This window comes from Homo sapiens, chromosome 15 (genome assembly GCF_000001405.40).
Source record: "Homo sapiens chromosome 15, GRCh38.p14 Primary Assembly".
Lineage (NCBI taxonomy): Eukaryota > Metazoa > Chordata > Mammalia > Primates > Hominidae > Homo > Homo sapiens.
Genome location: NC_000015.10, coordinates 56,444,124 through 56,463,229, shown reverse-complemented (window position 1 = coordinate 56,463,229; position 19,106 = coordinate 56,444,124). Strand labels below are relative to the sequence as shown.

Here is a 19,106-nt window from a genome sequence, read left to right as displayed (position 1 = left end):
TATTAAGTGGTAGAAAATGAACCCTTAGGTATATCTCAACATTTTAAGGGATTAAGGTGGTAGAAAAGGGAAACTAATAAGAATTGAGACATGATAGAAGTGAATTCTCATAAATATATAAAAGGTATTCTGATATGTCAGTAGTTTTTGAGTAGCTGCTGTATGTTAAACATTTTGGAGGATTTTGTGGAGAATAACAAAAGCAAATTTAAAAAATGATATCCACCCTTCTGTGTTCCAAATTCAAAAGCTTAGATATGATTTTTTTTTTTAACTCTGAGAAAGCACATCTTAGGGGTTGGATATTTTTCCTATTCTTATTATTTTCTCTTTAATTTGAAAGAATATCCCAGGTATCACACCAACTCTTTCCTACATAGTTAAGTGTACATCTAACAAAATATGGATGTTTTCTTACATGGAGTACCATAATACTATTATCTCACCCATTCCATAAACACATTTCTGTGATTGTGTCAAAAATCTGCTTTTACAGTTGGTTTGTTTTAACCAAGATCCAAGGAACATTCATACGGTGTATTTGGTGGTTATGTCTGTTTAAGTCCCTCTTAATTGAAAACAGCCCCTCCTTCACCGTGTTTTTCTTTTTTGACTTCATGTTTTTAGCTTGCTAAACTAAGCCAGTTGTTTTATCCAGTAGCCCACATTCTGAATATACGTGTTTGCTTCCTCATGTTCCTTTAATTTATTTCCCTATCTGTTATATTTCCTCTAAATAGAACCTAGCCATAAAGACACAATTAGATTGCGGTCCACCTTTTTTGGCAAGAATACTCCATAGGTGATGCTGTCTTTGTCATTGTGTCACAACAGGGAACACATGAGGTCTGGTTGTTCCACTTTTAGTGATGCCAGTATTGATCAGTGGGTTTAGGAAGACAGTCTGGTTTCTCCACTGTAAAGGTTCCCATCAAACTTTCATCTGTGGTTTCACAAAAGAATTTTTTCTTTCATTAGTGGTTACAAAAACTGATTTTCTGATTCTTTTATTCCTTTCACATTTAATTAGCTGAAATTCCTCTGTAAAGAACTTCACCTTGGGCCAGCACAATTGCTCACCCATATAATTCTAGCACTTTGGGAGGCCAAGATGGAAGGATCTCTTGAGCCCAGGAGTTCAAGGCTGCAGTGAGCTATGATCTTGCCACCGCACTCCAGCCTGAATGACAGATACCCTGTTCCCCTGCCCCCACCCCACAAAAAAAAAAAAAAAAAAAAAAAAAAAAAAAAAAACAACAACAAAAAAACACTTTGTTATTGACTAGGGTTATTTATTCTTACTGAAAAAGGAGACAGTTAATTTTCAGAGTAAGGAATTGGTGTCCTATTTTCTTCCATTGGTGTCTACCTATGTTGTGGTTGTTTTTAAATTTTTGTTTTATTTAGTTTTTGACTTTGTCTCTTTTTAAAAATACCTTTATGGACTCATAGATATTTATGTACTTAATTGCATTTATTATTATTTTTGATGCTCAAATTATCTCATCCTTGGCCAATGGATGCCCTTTTATATTGCCTCTGTGTCGTTTTTTTTTTTTTTTTTTTTTTGAGACAGAGTCTTCATCTGTCTCCCAGGCTGGAGTGCAGCCGCACCATCTCGGCTCACTGCAACCTCCGCCTTCTGGGTTCAAGAGATTCTTCTCCCTCAGCCTCCCAAGTAGCTGAGATTACAGGCCTGCACCACCATGCTAGGCTAATTTTTGTATTTTTAGTAGAGATGGGGTTTCACGATGTTGGCCAGGCTGGTCTTGAACTCCTGACTTCAAGTGATCTGCCTGCCTCGGCCTCCCAAAGTGCTGGGATTACATGTGTCAGCCACTGCACCTGGCCCTCTGTGTCCTTTTGACAATATTTCCTTAATCTTTGATACCTTCCTTGCTTTTTGTCAAAACAAACTGTTCTAGGCTTGTGATAATTTTATGTGTCAACTTGACTGGGCCTTGGGGTTTCTAGGTATTTGATAAAACATCATTCTCGGTGTTTCTGTGAGGTTGTTTTGGATGAGATTAGCATTTAAATCCATAGACTGAGTATAAAGCACATTGCCCTCCCTAATATAGGTGGGCCTCATCCGATCAGTTGAAGGCCTGAATAGAACAAAAAGACTGACCTTCTTTTGAATAAGACAGAATTCTTCATGCCTGATTGCCTTTCAGCTGGGACATTTCCTTTTTTTCTAGTCATTGAACTCAAACTAAAACATTGGCTCTTTCTGGGTCTTGAGCCTGCTGGTTCTCAGGCTTTAGGACTCAAACTAGAACAAAACCATTAGTTCCTCAGCTTGCCAGCTCACCTTGCAGATCTTAGAACTTGCCTGCCTTCATAATCACTTACTCTGGAGAACCCTGACAAATACAAAATTTCTCTCTTATATTTTTTGTCCTACACCTGGAATCAGCCATTGTGCCAGGAAGCGCTGTTATCATTTAGTGGAAATAATATTTCAAGAAAACTTGGGTGCTAGGTTTACTCATAATTCTTGGGTTATCATTGCTTCCAGGTTTTTTCAGTGAACAAATCTTGGAAATATGCATATTTTTAACTTATTATTTTGAGATAAGTTTAGATTTATAGGAGAGTTGCAAAAACAGTGTAGAGAATTCACATATACCCTTCACCTGACTACTTCTTAACATCTTACACAGATGAAAATCATGGAAAAGTTATCAAAATGGAGAATTTAGCTTTCATGGAATACTGTTAACTGTGAGATTTATTCAGATTTCATCAGTTTGTCCACTAATGTGTTTTTGCTACTTGAGGACCATAGATTGCATTTAGTTGTCATGTATCCTTAGTTTTTAGCCTTGAGAGGAATGTGGCTATGTGTCCTGAGTCACATAGCATGCTGCTACAACTTCTGCTTTTCCAATTACAGATTAAATCTTCCTTATTCTTGTTCTGTAAATGATTAGGAAAGACACCAGAGATAAGACCCCTCAAGATCATTACCCTTTCTCATGGAATGTTCCTTGGAATGCAACTAATTAAATTGCTATAATATGTATACTGACCTTATATGGAAAATGTTGCAACCCTGTTAAGCTTCTCTGTCTCTGCCTATATAAGTGAAACCTTAACTTCCCCACGTTGGAACAATGACCCATTATTTTGGAGTTTGTGTTTCCTGAGTGGCTGTCCTCAAGCTTTGCATTTGAATAAACTATAGTCACATATATATATATATATATATATGTATTTTTTTTTTTTTTTTTTTTGAGACAGAATTTCGCTCTTGTTGCCCAGGCTGGAGTGCAATGGCGCAATTTTGGCTCACCACAACCTCTGCCTCCCGGGTTCAAGTGATTCTCCTGCCGAGGCCTTCCAAGTAGCTGGGATTATAGGCATGCACCACCACACCCAGCTAATTCTGTATTTTTAGTAGGGATGGGGTTTCTCCACGTTGGTCAGGCTCGTCTCCAACTCCCAACCTAAGATGATCTGTCCTCTTCGGCCTCCCAAAGTGCTCCCAAAGTGGATTACAGGCATGAGCCACCGTGCCCAGCCAGTCATTGTTTCTTCTCCAATCTTTGTCTCCTCTAGTTTGTAAGAATTCTTCACTTTTTGCTGTCTTTCATGACCTTGACAATTTTGAAGAGTACACGTTAGTTGCTGTAGTAGTTTTCAATTGCTAAGTAACGAATTACCACAAACTTAGCTGCTTAAAACAACACCCATTTATTATCTCAGTTTCTGCAAGTCAGAAATCTAGGTGTGGTGTAGCTGGGTACTAAATATATTCCCAAGAGATAATTGAAGGCATATATCTACATAAAAACTCATACACGAGTGTCTATAACAGCATTATTCATGACACCCAGAAAGTAGAAACCCAGATGCCAGTCAGCTGATAAATGGATAAACAAAATGTGTTACATCTATACAATGGAATATTACACAGCCATAAAAAGGAATGAATTACTGATACATGCTACAACACGGATGAACCTTGAAAACATTTTGCTAAGTGAAATAAACCAGATACAAAAGGCCACATATTGTGTGAATTCATTTATATGAAATATCCAGAATATGCAAATCCATGGAGACAAAAAATAGATAAGTAGGTGCCAGGGGTTGGGGGAAAAGGTGAGAGGAATAGTAAGTGACTGCTAATAGGTTACAGGTTTCTTTTGGGGTGATGTAAACATTCTGGAGTGTTGACATTTTATGCCACACACAAATGTACACACAGATGTGCTATATATAGTGTGTACATACAATCACCTATATATATCTATAGCATTTATAAAAATATAACATGGCAGCTTTATAGCTGCCATAGCACAAATGTTTATAATATATAGCAGCATTATTTATAAATGTCAAAATTTAGAAGCAACCAAGATGTCCTTCAGTAGATAATGGATAAACTGTGATACATCCAGACAATGGAATATTATTCAGTGCCAAAATGAAATGAGCTATGAAGCCATGAAAAGATGTGGAGGAACTTTAAATGCATATTACTAAGTGAAAGAAGCCAGTCCAAAAAGGCTCCATTCTGTATAATTCCGACTATGTGACATTCTGGGAAAGGCAAAACTATGGAAACAGTAAAAATGTAAGTTGTTTTTAGGATTTTAGGGAGGAAGGGTTGAATAGACAGATCACAGAGGATTTTTAGGGTAGTGAAATGATTGTGTACGGTAGATACATATGATTATGCATTGCCAAAACCCATAGAATGTGTACCACCAAGAATGAACCTTAATGTAAACTATGGACTTTGCGTGATAATGATGCATAGGTTTAAGTAATGTAAATACAGGTTTACTGAGTGTAACAAATGTACCAGTCTAATGGAGGAGGCTGATAGAAGGGGAAGCTGAGCATGTGTAGGGACAGGGAATATATGGGAACTCTGTGTACTTTCTGCTCAATTTTGTTGTGAACCCAAAACTTCAAAGTCTATTTTTTTTAAGGCTCTGGAACTAGATAGTGGTGATAGATACACAACATTGTGAATATACAACATCACTGAATTGTGAATTGTAAAAGGTGAATTTTATGCTATATGAATTATATCTCAATTATTAAAAAATAACATGTACCAAGAATGTTACATAAATGGCATCAAACTGTATGTAATCTTTTGGAATTAGCTTTTTTCACTTAGCATAATTCATGGAGATTCATCCAAGTTTTGCTTGCATTCTTTTTCTTTTTATTGCTGAGTAGTATCCCATAGTATGGATGTACCACAGTTTATTTGACCACTCACATGATGAAGGATGTCTGGAGTATTTTTGGTATTGGCTATTATGAATAAATCTGCTGTAAACATTTGTATACAGGTTTTTAAATAAAAAGTTTTCATTTCCCTGGGATAAATGCTTAAGAGGTAAAATTGTTGAGTTGTGTGATAATTGCATGGAGGCTTTTTTTTTTTTAAGAGACAGGGTCTTGCTCTGTTGCCCAGCTGGAGTGCAGTGGCATGATCATGACTTACTGCAGCCTTGAACTCCTGGTCTCCGGCGGTCCTCCTACCTCAACCTCCTGATACAGCTAGAACTACAGATTTGTGCCACCACACCTGGCTAATTTTCTGTAAGGACAGCACCTCTCTATGTTGCCCAGGCTGGTCTCAAACTCCTGGCCTTAAGGATCCTCCCACCTTAGCCTCCCAAAGTGCTGGGATTACACGTGTAAGCCACAGCGCTCAGCTGCATGTTAGTTTTATATCAAACTATAAAACTGATTTTCAGAATGCCTGTACCATTTTACATTCCCACACAGCAATATATGAGTGATAGTTTCTTGCCAGCATCTGGTGTTGGCACTGTTTTTTGTTTTAGCCATTCCAATAGGTACGTAGTAATATCTCCTTGCAATTCTAATTTGCATTTCCTGATGGCTAATGATGTTGAATATCTTTTCATGTGTTTTTATTAGATACTGAATTTAATCAAGCCTCTAGATCTTTCTGCCATTTTTACAGGAAATATAAAAGAGAAAAAAAGTTCAGTGATATATCCTGGGGAAGCAATCAGTCAAATGCAAAATGTGGAACATTCTACGGGATGTATGTCCTAATTTCTATAACAAGTCAGTGGCTTGGGGGAAAAATGTGTGTAGAGGTGATTGTTACAGAATATATAAGAGACTTAAGAAAAATAATAATTAGATGCAATATGTGGATCTTGTTTGGATTTTGATTTAAGCAAACCAACTAGAAAAGTATGTTGAGACAATTGGGAAAGCTTGAATATGAACATGGTATTAGACATTAAGGAATTATTGTTAATTAGACGTGTTGATGACATGATTGTTATATTTTTAAAAATTCTGATCAGGTAGATATTCATACTGAATTATTTACATGGTAAGTGACATGATGTCTAGGATTGTTTTAAAACACCCTAGCAGAAAAAGAATAAGGGAAAAAAGAGTGAAATGGAAGGTAGAGAAAAAAGATTAGCAGAATGTCGACAATTTTTGAAAACATGTGTGATGGGTACCTGAGAGTGTATTTAAATATTCTTCTTACTATTGGCAATACTTGAAATTTTCCATGATAAAATATTTTGAAAAAGTATTTATTGAAACAACATTTTGTATTTTAAAATAAAACATCATCAATTGTTGGCCTTAAGGCATTTAGTTTTCTGTTATAAAACAAATTCAACCTTGATGAAAAAAATCTGATTCTAGAGGACAAACAACGAAGTTAAATTTTTCGTTCAGGCAGAAGAAAACAAGAGATTGAAAGAACTCCAGCTCAAACAAGAAGAAAAACTGGCTATGGAATTGGCAAAACTGAAACATGAAAGTCTAAAGGACGAAAAGATGAGGCAACAAGTAAGAGAAAACAGGTATCTTGGTTTCTCTAAATTTCATTTATTTAGTCTTTATCTTTAAACTCTTATGTAATCCTTAGCACCTGAAAGTGAAATTTCTTTGTTTATGTCATTTCACTTAGTTAATATTTTACCTGGAAATACTTATTGCTTTAAGTTCTATAAATATTTATTTGAGAAAAGAAGTTGTATTCATGGAAGTCTGAATATTTACAGTGAAAAATAAATATCAGTCCCCCTGCTCTTTCCTTTACACATAAATTTTAAAATGACCTCTTATAAAAAATGAATTCCTAATCTTAAGAGAAACCTTAGGTAATAACTAGTTTAATTTTATACCTCTACATAAATTTCCTACAGTATTTCTGGAATGACTGTGGAGCCTGTGTTTCAGTACCTCTAGTAACTGCAGTAGGAACTTTAGTCTTAATGTTAAATTATCTTCCCCCCCATTGTTTTAAAATTAATTTCTCTGTGACTTCATGCATCTGTCTTCTTTAGATGTCCTTTCACATATATGAACGCACTAAATGTTTTCTTCTGTAAGTTAGCTATCCCTTGTTCCTTCAGTTGTTTCTTACATAACCTGGCTTTAAGTTTATTCATCATCCTGGTTTCTTCTCTGATTACAGTTTAAATTATTAGTATTCCTTAATTGCCCCCATACTTCCGTATAATACTCCAAGAAAGACTGCCAGATACTCCAGATGACAGGACACTATTCTAGAATGTTTCTTGATCCTGCCTAAGATCGAATTACTTTTTAGGAACAGCCTTGTCACAGTGTTAATCAAAACTCAGGGCCAAGTAAATGCTAATCATATACTTATGTAATTGAATATATTGGAAATTTACTTCGATAGTTGTTACATTTTATCTTAATTGAGCAGGACGTCTGTAGAATATTACAGGAAACATGGATGAGCTTCATGGATTTTGAACCTTGTTAAATTATATTAATATGTTTGGCAAATGTATCCATGTGTATTTTTCTGGCTCCACAACTCTAATCAGATTCTCTAAGAGATTACCGATCCTTAGAAATTTAGAATTACTGTTAAAATCTGCTTATTGTTCTAGTCTCAAACTATCTTTTTGGGCCCTAATTCTCCAACCATCATTAGCTGTTACTCATGGTTTTTTTTTTTTTTTTTTTTTTTTCACCTGACGATGAACTATTTCTTATCTCTAATTCCCTGAAAACAAGAATTAAATAGAAGAGATTTTCACTTCTAGCAATTGCAGATTAGGTTATTCAGATAAATGTTCCTCCTGAGAAAAAGTCTAGGAAAAGCATAAAATTAAGATCTGTGAAAGGAAGGAAACCAGAATGCAAGCTTGGCATTTGTAGTGGCATTTCCTCTAGAGGTTTCTGCTGATTCCAAACAATGGCTGAGAGTTAAGTGAAGCAGAGCTTGGCCAATAAGCATATGGCAGTATGTTCAACAGCGTTCTACAAGCTGTACACTTAAGATTTGTGCACTTTAGTGTGTGTTTTACTTCAATAATACAGAATTAGATTTTATTAGACACAGATTAAGGGATAATCTGTGAAAAGGTTCTGGAAAATATTCAGAATAAAGCATGGAGAGACAAAAGGATAGAAAAATACAGATGAGAATTTAAAAGAGATACGGGCTATGGTACAAAGTTCTAGCAGATGTATTAATATAATTTTAGTCCTGGTAGAGAGGTGAAAGAGGATAATACAGAAGCATTATGTGAGGAGATGCTGGCCTGGAATTTTCAGAACATTGCAAGTAATGAAAACAGTACTTTCACTCATCCTAATAAAACTTTTAAAATCCAACAGTAATAGAAAATCATAAAAAAGCAGCCAGAACAAAAAAGATGATTATCTCCAAAGAGACAACAGTAAGAAGTATGACTTAATCCTGAATAGAAACAGTAGAAATTAAAAGATAACAGATTTACCTGGGTACAAAAAAAATAGAATGAATGAGTAGGACCTAGTATTTCATAGCACAGCAGGGTGACTATAGTCAATAATAATTTCACTGGACATTTAAAAATAAAGAGTATAATTGGATTGTTTGTAACACAAATGATAAATGCTTGAGGGGATGGATACCCCATTTTCCATGATATGATTAGTATGCATTGCATGCCTATATCAAAATGTCTCATGTACCCCATAAATATATACAAATATATACTGTGTACCCACAAAAACTAAAAGGAAGAAAGTGCTTGAGTATATACAAAAAAATTTACAACTCAACCAGAATTTTATACCTTGTGAAAAATTTTTTCAAACTAAAAGTCATTCAGTTGAGTACTCTTTCACAGAGTATGCCTCCTCTCAGCAGTGTCAGAATTGCTAAGAGTGTTTTTATTTTGTGCACAAGCCATATTAAAATTTTCACTGTCATGCAGAAATGGACTGTATTTCAAATTGGCATGTCTAAATTCAGGGAACTGCTCTGGTGCTTAAAATGTGTCCTAATTTATTTAAAATCACCTATATTAAGATTTAGCTTTTTTAATGTAAAAGAAATTAATTTTTTAAATGCACGGCACATTTAAAAAATCATTGAAGTTTATTTTGAAAATATTTCTTTGAGCTCAGAAATCATGACTCCTGTTAATTGATTTTGGAACACATGGTTTTGTAATCCAAGAAAGTACTTAAAAGATAATTTAACTTTGCTGCTGTTTTTAACTGGAGTTGGGAAACTCACTGTTTATTTTTAGAAATCCTATTTTAAATTATGGCACTAAACAATTAGTAGTTATAATTAATTGCCCAATTAACTAAATGTATTTATTACACAGTTAACACATACTGTTATGAAAGCAAAAGCAAGTACCTCATATCTCATTTATATTTAAGTTCAGCAAAAACCATTTCAAAGAAAAGACAGAGACAGTTTTTCCTTCTTAATACTATTACCATTACCTAGCTTATACCAGTATAATTATGTTCTGGACTGATAATCAAGCTGTTAATTCATAAAATAGATGAGATAGATTAAAAGAGCACAAAATAACATTTTCTGAGAAACAAAAACAGAAGATTGATCACCAATAATCCTGCATTAAAGGGAATACTAGCAGTTCTTCATTAGGTATTAATAGAAGAAGAAAAATGATCCCAAGCTTAATTTCAGAACTGCAAGAGGTACATGTATAGTAAATTTAGTTGATATTTGAATGTATAAAATATTTATTATGTCTTTTGGGAATTAAAATATGTAAAGAGTTAAAAATATGACAAAATGAGATAGGAAGTAAATGAAGTTAAAGTCAAGAATCTTGCATTGTCAAATAATAATGAATAAATTTATTCACCTGGAAACAAAGAAACATGCTGTAATATCTGTAATAAAAATTTGGAAAAGAAAATATAACTGACTAATAGAGAATAAAATACGATAATAGGAATTGATTATTCCAAAAAACTCATGTAAAAAAGAGTTAACATAGCAGGCTTGAGGCTATCTTAGAAAGTCCTCCTTGCAAGTTTGGTCTTTGGCTGGTTTCTGGAAACTAGGCTTTTGAGAAGGTTCTTACCACCTTAACTGCTGAGGATGATTCACTGTGGCTAAAATGTGAAAACAATATGGATTAGGCCGGGTGCGGTGGCTCATGCCTGTAATCCCAGCACTTTGGGAGGCCGAGGTGAGTGGATCGCAGGGTCAGGAGATCGAGACCATCCTGGCTAACACGGTGAAACCGCGTCTCTACTAAAAATACAAAAAATTAGCCGGGCCTGGTGGCACACGCCTGTAGTCCCAGCTACTTGGGAGGCTGAGGCAGGATAATCGCTTGAACCTGGGAGGCGGAGCTTGCAGTGAGCCAAGATCGCGCCACTGCACTCCAGCCTGGGCGACAGAGAGAGACTCTGTCTCAAAAAAAAAAAAAAGAAAAAAAGAAAACAAAACAATATGGATTATACTGAATACCCATTTTCTTTCTGGGAGTCTGGAATATTGGTACGTTCTAAGTAGAGGGTGCCTAAGTTACCACCCCCAATAAGAACCCAGAGCACTGAGTTCTGATGAGCTCTAATGTTGTCTGCCAGGCATTTCACACGTCACAACTCATTGCTCGGGGAATTAAGCGTGTCCTGTGTGTTTCCACAGGTAGAGGCCTTTTGCACCTAGTTTTCTCTGAATTTCACCCATGTGCCTTTTTCCTTTGCCAATTTTGCTGTGTTTCGTTTCTTTATAGTAAGTCATAGCCGTGAGTATAACTATATGCTGAGTCCTGTATCCTCCTAGTGAATCATCTAACCTGATGGTGGTCTTGGGAACCCCCAACACAGAAGCAAACAGGAGAGAAGAGAGAACATAGGACAGGGAAGACAAGTAGAAAGAAGATATAAGCTTGTAAATGGAAACCCAATTATATTAGTAGTTATAGTAAACATATTTGAACCATTTGCCAAAATTGATGAAATGTTGTATCAGAATAAAAATATCAACAGATTTTCAGAGGAATCAATTTATACATAGTATTTTCTCTGTCCATAGTGGAATTAAACTAGACGTAAGTAATAAAAAAAAATCTAGGCAATCTTTATATGCTTAGGTATTTAAAAATGTGCTTCACATTACCCTTTGGTCAAAAAGTACAGATGCTCCTTGATGTACGATGGGTTCATGTCCCAATAAACTACATTTTCAATTTACGACAGGTTTATTGGGATGCATCCCATCATGAATTGAGGAACCTACTGTGAATGCATATGGTTTTCTCACCATTGTAAAGTCAAACCATCATTAATCAGAGACTGTCTATAATCAAAATTGAAATTAGAAAGTATTTTTAACTGAATAATAATGAAAATACCACATACTAAAAGTTGCAGGATTGGACTGATATTAGCAAAATAGCAGAGTAGGCAGCTCCCAGCTCCTGTCTCTCCTCCCAGCCCATCCCCCGACTACAAACATCAGAAAACAAGCAGAAACTCTCAGAACCAATTTTATAAGAAATTTGGGTAGCATTCAAAGGTTTATTGCAATCAAGCAAATGCTGAAACAAGAAAAAGCCTAAAAATGGTAGTAAAGTTCTGTGGTATCTTCACTTGCCCTTTCCTCATTCCCTCCTAGCTCAGAGGCAGGTAGCCCTTGTTCCCAATGCAGGACCCTGGTCCCTGGTTCAGGAGGAGCAGAGCAGATCTTATTCACAAATTGTTGGGTATATCTGTTCTAACCTACCTTGGGACTACGTGAAAAACTAACACAAGGCACTTATCTGTTTTACCTCACTCAGAACTCATTTAGGCCAGAAGAACAAATTGTATCTCTGATAAGGATTTAATATCTGAAATATATAAAGAACTCTTACAATTCAATAATTTTAAAAACCCAGTTCAAAAATGAACAAAGAACTTAGACGTTTCTCTAAAGAAGATGTTGAGTGAATGATAAGTACATGAAAATATACTCAACATTATTTGTCATTAGGGAAATGCAAATCAAAACCATAAGAAGAAACTGTTTCACATCTAATAGGCAATTTTAATAAAAGTAGTGGAAAATAATAGGTATTGCCAAGAAAGTGGGAAAATTGGAACCCTCAGAAATTGCTGGTAGAAATGTAAAATGATGCAGGTGCTATGGGAAAAAGTTAAACAAAGGATTACCATATGAGCCAGCAATTCCACTCCTAGGCATAAATATACAAAAAATTCAATAGTGAGACTTAAATGGATACTTGTATACAAACTTTTGGTGCAGCATTATTTCCAATAACCAAAATGTTGAAACAACCTGAATGTCCATCAGATGGGTGGATAAATGAAGTGTAGTATATATACATTATACAATATCCTTCAGTTATAAAAAAAAAATGAAGCACTGATACATGCTAAAATATTAGTGAACCTTGAAAACATTATGTTAAGTAAGCGAGACACAAAAGGACAATTCCTTGTATAATTCCACTTTTGTGAACTATCTAGAATAGGCAAATAGACAAAATGCAGATTAGGAATTCCAGGGGTTAGGGAGAGGGAAGAATGGGGAGTTATCGTTTAAGAGGTGCAGCATTTCTCTTTGGGGGGAATGAAAAAGTTTTGGAAATAGTGTTGATGGTTGCAGAACACTGTGAATGTAATTAACACCACTGAGTTGTACATTTAAAAATGGTTAGGATGGCAAATTTTTGTTACATATATTTTCACATGATAAAAAATGTTATAGGACTGAAAAAAAAGAAACCAACTTGTGGCATATAGTTAAGGCTGTTCCTCAAGGGTAGGTCTTAATCTGAAATAACTGTATTAGAAAGGAAAACTCCATCTGGAATTACTAGAAAACAAACTGCAAATTCTCTTCTGGAATGATTACAAAAAGAAGGTAGGAGGAAGGCAATAATAAAGATAAGAGCAGAAATGAGTAAGTTAGAATATAAACATAAAGTAGAACAAATAAAGCCAAGAACTGTGCCATAAAAAGGTGAATAAAATTGACGACCCCTTGGTAGGGATGACAGAGTAAAAGAGAATGCACAAATAACCAGTTTTTGGAATGGATAATGTGATATCACTGTAGAGCATACAAACACTTAATGGACCATAGCAGGATATTGCAAACAATTTTATGAAAATAAATTTGAAAATGTAAATGAAATAGATAAATTCTTAGCACATTTTACCAAACTGATTGGCACAAGAAGAAATAGCTAAATGTTCCTATAACTTTTAAAGATATTGCATCTGTAATTTAACCTTGTCCACAAATAAACCTACAGGGCTAGGTGAATTTTACCAAACATTCAGGACAAAGTAACACCAATCTTATGTAGTTCTGTAAAACAGAAAAAGAGGAAGCCCTTCCCAATTTGTTTTAATCAGATCATTACCTGAATACGATATGAGAAACCTGTAGACTAATCTCTCTCATGAATTTAGCTCCTGTAATCTGAAATATTAGTCAATACGAAATCCAGTGCTGTATAAGAAAGATAAATCATCCTGACCAAATTTAATTTATTCCAGGAATGCAAAGGTGGTTTAACATTTTAAAAATCAGTAAATGTAATTCATCCTATTAACAATTATATGATTAGAAAAAGCCCATTGATATGAATCATCACTCTATGATTTAATAAAAAGAGTGTAGCAAGCTAGGGATAAAAGGGAATTTACAGCAACATTATCCTTAATAGCAAAATGTTAAACACTTCCCCTCTGACACTGAGAAGAAGACAGGGATGCCTGCTCTGACAGCTTTTAGTCATCTTTGTATTATACATACTAATCAGTGCAATAGGGCAAGAAAAAGCAAAGACAGGTGCTAGGATTGGCATTAAAGGAATAAAAATTTAATTATTCACAGATGATATGATTGTATGTGTAGAACATCCAAAAGCATCTACAAATAGCCGGGTGTGGTGGCTCATGCCTCTAATCCCAGCACTTTGCAAGGCCAAGGCAGGTGGATCACCTGAGGTCAGGAGTTTGAAACCAGCCTAGCCAACATGGTGTAACTCCATCTGTACTCAAAATACAAAAAATTAACCGGGCATGGTGGCACACACCTGTAGTCCCAGCTACCTGGGAGGCTGAGACAGGAGAATCGCGTGAACCTGGGTGGCGGAGCTTGCAGTGAGCTGAGATCACACCACTGCACTCCAGCCTGAATGACAGAGCGAGACTCCGTCTCCAAAAAAAAAAAAAAAAAAAGAATCTAAAAATAAGAATTAGCAAATCATTCTACCAAAAAAAGCATATGCATTTATATGTTTATTGCTGTGCTATTCATAATAGCAAAGACATGGAATTAATCCAGGTGCCCACCAGTGGGAAATTGGGTAAAGAAAATGTGGTACATATATACCACGGAATACTCTACAGACATAAAAACAATGAAATTATGTCCTTTGCAGAAACATGGATGGAGCTGGAGGCCGTTATCCTAAGCAAATTAACGCAGTAACAGAAAACCAAATACTGCATATTCTCACTTATAGGTGGGAGCTAAACATTGAGTACACATAGACATATATGGGAACAACAGACACTGTGAACTATGAGAGGGTGGAGGAGGAGTGGGTTAAAAAACAACCCATTTGATTCTGTGCTCACTGCCTGGGTGACAGGAGCTGTACTCCAAACCTCAGTATCACACAATATTCCCATGTAACAAATCTGCACATGTACCCCCAGTATCTAAAAGTTGAAATAAAAACTTAAAACCACTTTAGTAGACAGTTTGGCAGCTTCTTAAAACGCTGAACGTGCATCTACTGTATGACCTGATCATTCCACCTTAGGTATTTATCCAAGAGAAATGAAAGCCTGTGACCACAAATAACTGGTACTCAAATTTCCATAGCAGCTTTATTTGCAATATCCACATACCTGAAACAACTCAAATGTCTATCAGCATGTGAATAGATAAGCAATGCGAGTGGATATCTATAATCTTAAAATAATATCCTGCAATAAAAAGGAGTAAGCAATTACTATATGCAATAAATGGATGTATTTGAAAATATTGAGTGAAAGAAGCCAGAGAAAAATGGTACCTGCACTATGATTCCATTTATATGAATTCTAGAAAATTTATACTGCCTAAGGTGACAGCAAATTAGCTTGCCTCAGGATAAGTGCGAACATAAAGGGGTAGAAGAGAGGTACCACAGGTTTATAAGGAAGTGATTGGGACGTGTTCATGATCTTGATTGTGGTGATGGTTTCACAGGTGCATACATATGTAAAAACTTATCAAACTGTATCCTTTAAACATGTTCAGTTTATTGAATATTGTAGATCAGTAAAACTGAAAACTAAAAAATATATTCAGTGATATTGTTGGGTATAAATTTAGTATATAAACATTAATTGTATTTCTGTAAATTATCAACAATTAGAAAGTGAGATTTGAAAAATAATCTACAGAAGGATATGAAAAATACCTAATGAAAAGTATAAAACTACCAAAATAAAACACAGATATAAACATCGATAGACTTTTAAAAAACCAAATAATTAGAAGGATATACTATGTTTATTGAAGACTCAGTAATGTAAAGATATTAGTACTTTCCAAATTGATTTATGAATTCAGTACTATCACAGCCAGTTTTGTTTATTGTGAAGTCTGACAAGCTGATTCTAAAATGTATATGGAAATGAAAGTATCAAGAATGGCTAAGACAGTCTCTAAGAAGATGACCAAAATTGGAGACTTATCCATGATATGTAGACGTATTATAATTTACAGCAGTTGAGATAGTGTGGTATTGACACAGGATAAGCAAACAGATGAATGTAATAGAACAGAGCAGTACTTTTCAACCAGAAAATGTAAGCCCTAATGCCCTAAAGGCATCCATTAAATATAATGAATTATTTCTCCTATGGATCTAAAATAATACCCGCTGTATTCCCTCTTTGAGTAAATTAAAAATACAGTTACTCAGTTTTCTGTGAGGTTTTCATTCTCTTATGGTCCTAACATTTAAATTTGTTTTTGTTTTTTTAAACAGCATTGAGCTTAGAGAATTGGAGAAGAAATTAAAAGCAGCTTACATGAATAAAGAAAGGGCAGCTCAGATTGCTGAAAAGGATGCCATTAAATATGAACAAATGGTAATCATGTTTCTGGTCATTATGTTTTTAGCTTCATTTAGAAAATAAAAATTAGACTTGTTTCTTAAAAAATTGTCATATTGTATAAAGAATTTACACTGCTAGATTTCTTAAATATTTGTAAATTTTCAGATCCTTAAGATGTAGAAAATCCTGCGTGATTTCATTTTTAATATTAGAGCCTTTCAGAAACACATTGCTGCTTAGAATGACCAGCTATATTCAGTAACTCCCAGCATTCTTTATAGTCTCTAACTGATTATTCACTGACAAAGTAGTACAGTACAAATTGTTACCATGATAAGTGTATTTTAGAATGTTATGAAATTTTTAATTATTTAAATGTTTTTAAGAGTAAACTACTTGATAATTTTATGTAGGAAACTTTCCAGTTTTATAAAAGCCATCTCTTTTTCTCATGTTTCTCTCTGCTTTTATCCCCTTTTCTAACTCCTGATATGGTACCAAGTTGAAGATAAGAGTTACTCTTGGGCAAAGGAATCTCAGGCATACTCACTAGGAGTGCTTTGCTGTATGAATATATAATAGGGTTTACTGAATTAACAGTTAATTAAAAGGGTGCACATCATCCCTTGAGCTCTCATTATCAAACAGAAGGGCCAATTATATATGAATGTTTATATACACATACATATCTATTGTGTATGTCCACATAAACATATGTACACACACACACACTCTTATGGGGTGATATCAAAATACTTAACCAGTGCAGTGCAATATGGGTATCAATTAAGAATAGATACCATAAATGACACATATATGTGTGTGTTGCGTGTGTACAATTGTGTTAGTATAGAAAATGTCTAGCGGGTACACAGCATGCTGTTAACAGGAATACCTTTAGGTGTGGCAGGTGATAAGAAAAGGTGGAGAGACTTCATTTGCTAAGCCATATAGCGCTGTCCTTTGAAAAAGAAAGTAGCACAAACAATGTCCTGTTTGTCCAGTGGTTTGCAGTTTTAATTATCCTGATAGTTGAAGTTATTCAAGGTAGTTGTAGACGTTTTAATCTGACTCCTACGAGAATTGCTGCTATTTTCCAAATAAAAATTGATCCACAAAATGAAAGTCGAATACTACTAGGACTTGACTAGGTGTCATGCAAGTACTAGTTTTGGCTTTTTCTCTGAGCCTTAGTTTTCTTATCTGTAAAATGAGAACATTGTTTTCGGTAAGTGTGTGGTAATCTACACATAAATGTTATTGTCATCTCATTTTTTAATAAAGAATTTAGTATAGCATGTACAAAGAAGATAATCAGAAACATTTTTGGTCAAGTCATATTATCAGAGTATATGTTAAAGGCTTCAGTGACGTCAGGAATGACATTCAGTATTCATATTTTAATCTGTTTACTCTTTATGTTTGATGCTGCTGACCATTCCATCATTCGGGATGTGATCATAAAAGTAAAGCGTAGTTTAAAAAATTGCCTCAGTATATTTCATTTAAAACTTATTTTATTAAATGATTTGAAAAATGCTCAAAAGAAATAAGGGGTTTAACCCATCCAAGAAGAAAGATTGTCTCTTGACAATGGGAATGGTCTTGAGTGAATTAAAAGCTGTAGAAAATAGGCACAGTAGCATCTGTGATTCTTTTCAGATAAAGGGCCTTTAATAAATCAGAAAGGGGAAACGTCAAGGGCCAATGGCAGGAAAGAAAGTTTAGGCTAGGAGAAACTTAAGAGCTGCTCAAAGCCATTTAATAGCAGACCTGTAAGAAAGAGGCAGTACCATCTTTAAATAGCAGCTGATAAACAATGAAGCTAAAAACGATGAAAATTGCCTAGCTCAGTTTATAAATAGAATAATAAGATAATGACTGCTTTAGCAGCTAAATAGTTATTAAGAAACTACTTACAATTGTATTCATTGTTTTTTGAATGTGGAGTTATTAATAATCCTTATCAGGTATTGTCCTGAGAGAGCTACTTGAAGGGATAGGAAAGCTGCTTTAGGGTCTGACTTATTGTTCACACCCTTCAGGTAATAATAACTTACTTTTGCTTTTTAACCTAGACAGATGAAAAAATTTATTTTATGTAAAAGACTTTATAATATTCAATAACATTGGTGTAAAATATACTATCGTACTATGTTCAAATTTGAAAACGGAAAGATCAATTTTGTTTTAATAACAGAAACGTGATGCTGAAATAGCCAAAACCATGATGGAAGAACACAAGAGAATAATAAAGGAAGAGAATGCTGCAGAAGACAAACGAAACAAAGCGAAAGCACAGTACTATCTTGACTTAGAGAAACAACTTGAAGAACAAGAAAAAAAAAAGCAGGAAGCTTATGAGCAGCTGCTAAAAGAGAAACTCATGATTGATGAAATTGTTAGGAAGATCTATGAAGAAGATCAGTTGTAAGTTTATCCTAACTTTCTTACATGTCTAAATGTTTACTTTAGATATATCACAGGTTTGTTGTGAGGAACTGAAGCACCTAGAACAGTGCCTAATACATAGTAAGTGCTCAATAAATACTAGCTATGAAAACATAAATTGGGACCAACTCCTTCTCATCTCCGTTAGCATAATTAATAAATGAATTATCTGATGATTAATAAATGCTGAAGTGATTGAATGACCTAAACCTTTGTTTTTCTTATATATGCCCATATCATATGTCAGAGGACAGGTATTCTGATAAATTTTTTTGGTAGACAGCTTAAGTATAGAGTGC

At 34.7% G+C, this 19,106-nt stretch overlaps 2 protein-coding genes across 6 annotated transcripts in view; one reads left to right on the top strand and one right to left on the bottom strand.

Annotated features, from left to right (window-relative positions):
* The window catches only part of MNS1 (meiosis specific nuclear structural 1), a 36,414-nt gene that overhangs the window by 1,908 nt on the left and 15,400 nt on the right, over positions 1–19,106 (top strand). Inside the window, exons 3-5 of the mRNA NM_018365.4 lie at positions 6,709–6,836; positions 16,287–16,389; positions 18,557–18,786. Of these exons, the coding sequence (NP_060835.1) occupies positions 6,709–6,836; positions 16,287–16,389; positions 18,557–18,786 (461 nt within the window). The remainder of the gene's footprint in view (positions 1–6,708; positions 6,837–16,286; positions 16,390–18,556; positions 18,787–19,106) is intronic.
* TEX9 (testis expressed 9) overlaps positions 3,220–19,106 on the bottom strand; it is a 216,038-nt gene continuing 200,151 nt past the window's right edge. For 4 of the 5 annotated variants that reach the window (NM_001286449.2, NM_198524.3, XM_047432468.1 and 1 more), the window contains one exon: positions 17,347–17,559. The gene's annotated coding sequence lies outside the window, so the exon portion shown is untranslated. Of the gene's footprint in view, positions 3,603–17,346; positions 17,560–19,106 lie in introns of those variants that run through there. The other variant, XM_047432466.1, reaches the window with a different exon arrangement.